Source organism: Homo sapiens, chromosome 7 (genome assembly GCF_000001405.40).
Source record: "Homo sapiens chromosome 7, GRCh38.p14 Primary Assembly".
Classification (NCBI taxonomy): domain Eukaryota; kingdom Metazoa; phylum Chordata; class Mammalia; order Primates; family Hominidae; genus Homo; species Homo sapiens.
The window spans coordinates 41,642,278-41,647,852 of NC_000007.14; positions in this window are offsets into that span (position 1 = coordinate 41,642,278).

Below are 5,575 nucleotides of genomic sequence, written 5' to 3' on the forward strand. Positions count from 1 at the left end.
AGGATTTGAGGTTTATTGTTTAATCCTTCTGCAGCTCAGATGACAATGATGAGGCTGCCTTAAACAGAGAGGCCAATTGCTCTGGGCCCTATTATTCACTGCACGTAAAATCAGCAAGAATTGTAGACAGGTTATACAGACGGTCCCTAACTCAGGATGGTTCAACTTACATTTTTTGACTTTACAATGATGTGAAAGCAATACATATTCAGTAGAAACCGTACTTCGAGTACTGACACAACCATTCTGTTTTACACTTTCAGTACAATATTCAATAAATTACATGAGCTATTCAACACTTTATTATAAACCAGGCTTTGTGTTAGATGATTTTGCCCAACTCTAGGCTAATGTAAGTGTACCCAGCATGTTTAAAGTAGGCTGGGCTGAGCCATGATGTTCGATAGGTTTAAATGTATTTTTGACTTAATGATATTTTCAACTTAACAATGGCTTATCAAGATGTAACCTGGCTGGGTGCAGTGGCTCACGCCTGTAATCCCAGCACTTTGGGAGGCCAAGATGGGTGGATCACCTGAGGTCAGGTATTGGAGACCAGCCTGGCCAAGATAGTGAAACCCTGTCTCTACTTAAGATACAAAAATTAGCCGGGCACAGTAGTGCGCACCTGTAATCCCAGCTACTTGGGAGGCTGCAGCAGGAGAATCACTTGAACCCGGGAGGCAGCGGTTGCAATGAGCAAGGTTCATATCATTGCACTCTAGCCTGGGTGACAGAGTGAGAATCCATCTCAAAAAAAAAAAAAAAAGTAACCCCACCATAAGTCGAGTAGCATGTGTTCTGTTTTCCTTTACCAAAGCTCATAATTCATGCATTTCAGGCTTCAGTTTTTCTTATGTGGGAAGGTGATAGAGCCCTACTAAACTTATTTCCCTACACACTTGGCATCTTTCTTCTTGTTGTTCTTCTCTCACCTGTCTGCATTAAATAATTCACTTCCCTAGATTCCCTTCATATTGCACCATAGGTAGAAATTGGATGTCAAAGATGGAAGACACCACCTTGGAAATGAGAAGGAAATACTTATTTCAACAGATAAGATGCACAGCACTCCTGATGGGGTCAAGGAGTTCATGAGGTTACAATTATTCTAAGAATACCAGTGAAGCCTTATTTGTAGAATAAGTAGTGGGTAAGACTGTTGACACTTTAGTATGAATTAAGTAGTAACACCAAACTGTACTAGTGGTCATTCTACTTTTTACCACAATACATAATACCAAAAAATGTAAAATGTCTTTGATGAAGCAATAAAAATTATTAATTATGTTACATCTTAACATTTGAATACAGTTTTTATATCCTGGATAATGAGATGGAAAATATGCATAAAATCCTTTGCTGTATATTAAAGTATTATGGTTGTCTCAAGAAAAGGACTTGTGTGATTGGGTGTCTAGCTGAAGCAGCTGCTTTTTTTCAGGGAACACCAATTTTATTTGAAAGAACACCTGAAAAAAACCACATGGCTCTTCAGTCTTTAATATGTGGCAGACATGTTCTCAAAGATGAACCTGTCACTTCAAGGAAAACAACTGACAGTATTTGTTAATGATAAAATTGGAGCTTTCAAGTAAAAATTAGAATTTTGGAAAATGTGTATCTGCCACAACGAGCTAGACAGCTTCCTTTCACTTGAAGCATTTCCAGATGAGATTTGGTGATTATGTTAACAAATATGATTTTTTTATATCATTTAATGAAATGTATCAGTATTAACTCAGTGAACCAATATTTTCCAAATGACCAACGCATAGCAATACAAAATCACATGGCAATATGAAAATTCATTTAAAGTATAAGTTAGATCAATGGATTTTAATCTAATAGAAAATAAAATTGTGTTGATATAATTTCAGGTACCACCTGATTTGTGGGTTTTGCAACTAACCTTTAGAAAACTACCACTTATTTTGGTACAACATGAAAGAAGAATATCCACAGTGATCCGAAAAGGCTATTTTAAAACTCCTATCTTTGCCAACTACATATCTATGTCTGGATTTTCTTCATATACTTCAACCAAAACAACATATCACAACAGACTAAATGCCAAAGCAGAGATGAGCTTCCAACTGTTTTCTATTAAGAGTTTGCAAAAATGTAAAACAACATCACTCTTCTCACTCTTCCTTTTGTTTTGTAGAATTTATTTTTCATAAAATGCATTAGTTTTGTTAGCATGTAAAGAGTTTGTCACTGTAATATTAGCTAAACTAATAAATATTTTCAAATGTCTCAATTTTAATTTGAAATTTGGTACTTATTGATAGACAGTGCCCATATAAACAAATATTCTTTGGGGGTCTCAGTAATTTTTAAAAATGTAAAGGATCCTGAGACTAAAATTTTTGGAACCATTGGATTAGATGAATAAAAGATAACAATTGAAACTTGATTCACTATTATTTTTACATCAGCCATTGCCTGAATAAAATGTTTAAGTGAACCTAATTTTCAATTTTAAACATTTTAATAAATAACAAATTAAAATAATTCATTGAGGCTTTATTTTGTGCCTGCTCTTAGCTAACAACTTTGTTTACCATGACCATAGGTGATCCTCATGGCACAGCTGAGATTATGTTATTCTAAGCCCATTTTACAGAGAATAGACCTGTGGCTTAAGCAGTATAAATAACTGAACAAGCTCATAGCTGGTCACTGGCAGAGCAAGTTTTGAAAGCAGAAAGCCTGCCAGGCATCAAGGATGCTGTCCTAAACCAGGAAGTCACACAGCTTCCCAGTGGCTGACATGTAACCCCATCCAGTGTTCTGGTTGTGTTCTAAGAGCTTGCTATAATTTATCTCATTTAATCATAATTCTAAAGAATAAGGCAATTATTTTATCATCCAGAAAACTAACCTTCTGAGAGGTGAGGTGACTTAGCCATGAGTACCACAGCTGTAGCGCACGAAGGAATGATTTGGATATTTTTGTGGGATTTGTGTGTGTGTCCCTGTAGTATGGAGATTTGAGCTCTTCTTACCATTCAGTTTGTGGTACACTAATTATCAATTTAGCAAGATCCTCTTGTGTTCAAATTCATTTTTTACTCAGCATTTCCCCATCCACACTGCCATTCATCACCCCCATAAAGCTACTATTCTAATGTAATTCAGATAGCTCCTCAGCTATGTTTCTTTGAAATTTTTCTTAGTTTTCTTAATTTGTCTAAATGATATTATATTATAGATACAACTCTGTTCTTTAACCCCACACTGTTTTCACGATCAAGCTACAAGGCTGTAGCTGATTCATGGCTCCTGATAGCTGTGTAGTATTCCATCATGCAGTTCCGCTCCTCTTTACTAAATATTATTATGTTTCTCCAAATCACTGTTGCCTCCAGGAAGCAATAAACAACCTCAAATATAACATTCAATGGACCAAAAGTTTTTATTTTTATATTTTTTGTTGTGTATATTTATTTATTTAGAGAGAGGCTCTTGCTCTGTTGCCCAGGCTGGAGTGCTACGGCATGATCATGGCTCACTGCAGCCTCCACCTCCTGGGCTTAAGCAAATCCTCCTGCCTCAGTCTCCCAAGCAGCTGGGGCGACAGGCACACCCTACCATGCCCAGCTAATTGTTTTTATTTTTGTAGAGATGGGGTCCTGCTATGTTGCCCAGGCTGGTCTTGAACTCCTAGCCTCAAGCCATCCTACCCCCTTGGCTTCATGTGTGAGGCCGTGCCCAGCTCTTAACTTTTTATTTGTATTAAACGTCTTCTCTTAGTCTGTTATCCATTGGTTATTTTTGTGTAAAATTCCTTCCTTGAAGAATAATCTTTACCTTTTTTTTATTTTTGTTTTTTTAGAGATGGGGTTCTTACAAAGTTGAGTTGCCCAGGTTGGACTCAAACTCCTGGGCTCAAGCAGTCCTCCCATTTTAGCCTCTCAAGTAGCTGGGACTACAGGCATATGCCACCATGCCCAGCTAAGAATAATCATTACTTCAAACGTAGAGAAATTCATCAATTTTTCCTTTTTATGGTTTATGATTTTTGAATCTGAGTTACAAATTTTTATCCAAAAGTCACAAAGATATTCTTTTGCATTTTTTTCTACTAAATTTTATGTTTTGCCTTTCACATTTAGGATTTAATTCACTTCTATATATGATGAGTTTTATTTTTCTCCACATAGTGAGCCAATTTTCCTGAGTTTCTACTAAGCAAACCATTTTTTATTCGCCAATTTGTGGTATCACTTTTATACCAGTTCCCATACATACCAGAATCTCTAGTCTATTGCATGGGTTCTGTTTATTATTATACCAATAGCACATTACTTTTAAAAGAATTTTGTAGTTTTTCTAAATAACTTGTAGAACAAGTGTACTGCTCACCCCATCTTCAAATCCTGGGGTCATTTTTTTTTCATTTTCCTTTTCAAACTTTGGTTAACATAAGGGGCACATTTATCTTTTCATATCCACTTGGAATCACTTTTGGAAAAAACTCTCCTTGAGTTTTGCCTGAAATTGCATTGAATGTATAGATTAATTTGGTAAGAATTGATAGAAAAATAATGTTAAGTTGCCTCATCCATGTACATGGTCTATACTTTCTATTTATTCCAGTCTTGTTTTGGTTCTTTTAATAGTGCTTCATATTTTCCTCTATTTTTAAAAAGTTCTTCTGTGCTTTTTAAATAGGTTAATTCCTACCTACTTTACAGTTGCTGCTGTTTTGAGAAGTGGATCTTACTTTCTTTCTTTTTTTGAGACAGAGTCTGGCTCTGTCGCCCAGGCTGGAGTGCAGTGGCGAGATCTCAGCTCACTGAAACCTCCGCCCCTCGGGCTCAAACTATTCTCCTGCCTCGGTCTCCTGAGTAGCTGGGATTACAAGACCCGCCACCAAGCCCTGCTAATTTTTTTGTATTTTTAGTAGAAATGGGGTTTCACCATGTTGGCCAGGCTGGTCTCAAACTCCTTACCTCAGGTAATCCACCCGCCTCGGCTTCCCAAAGTGCTGGGATTACAGGCTTGAGTCACCGCACCTGGCTAGGTCTTACTTTCTAGTAAATTTTCTGCTCAATTATTCTTAGTGTGAAAAGAGGTTATTGATTCTTATAAGTTGATCTTATTTGGCAACTTAATTTACTTTTTACTAATAGCCAATAAATTTGTTAGTTCTGCTGGGGTTTCCGTACAGATGATTACGTTAGCTGCAAATAAAATACTTCTGTCTTTTGCTTCTCAATTCTTAAAGTTCTTCTTTTTCATGGGTTATCATTTTAGCCAGGACCTTCAGGGTTTATGGTAAGAACACCAGGGCAGCCATCCTTGTCTTACTCCTTATCTAAAAAGAATGTATGTAATATTCATTATTAAAACTGGTGTTCATCGTAGCTTTTTAAAATAAATATTAGGTTGGTGCGAAAGTAATTGCAGCTTTTGCTATTAAAAGTAATAATTGAATAAATTAGGAAAATATCCTTCTAGTCCTTCTAAAAAAATTATGTCATTCATAGACATTGAATTGTAAGTATTTTTAATAATGATTGAGATAATAATAAGATATTTTTCCATTAGCCTAGTTTTCTACCCT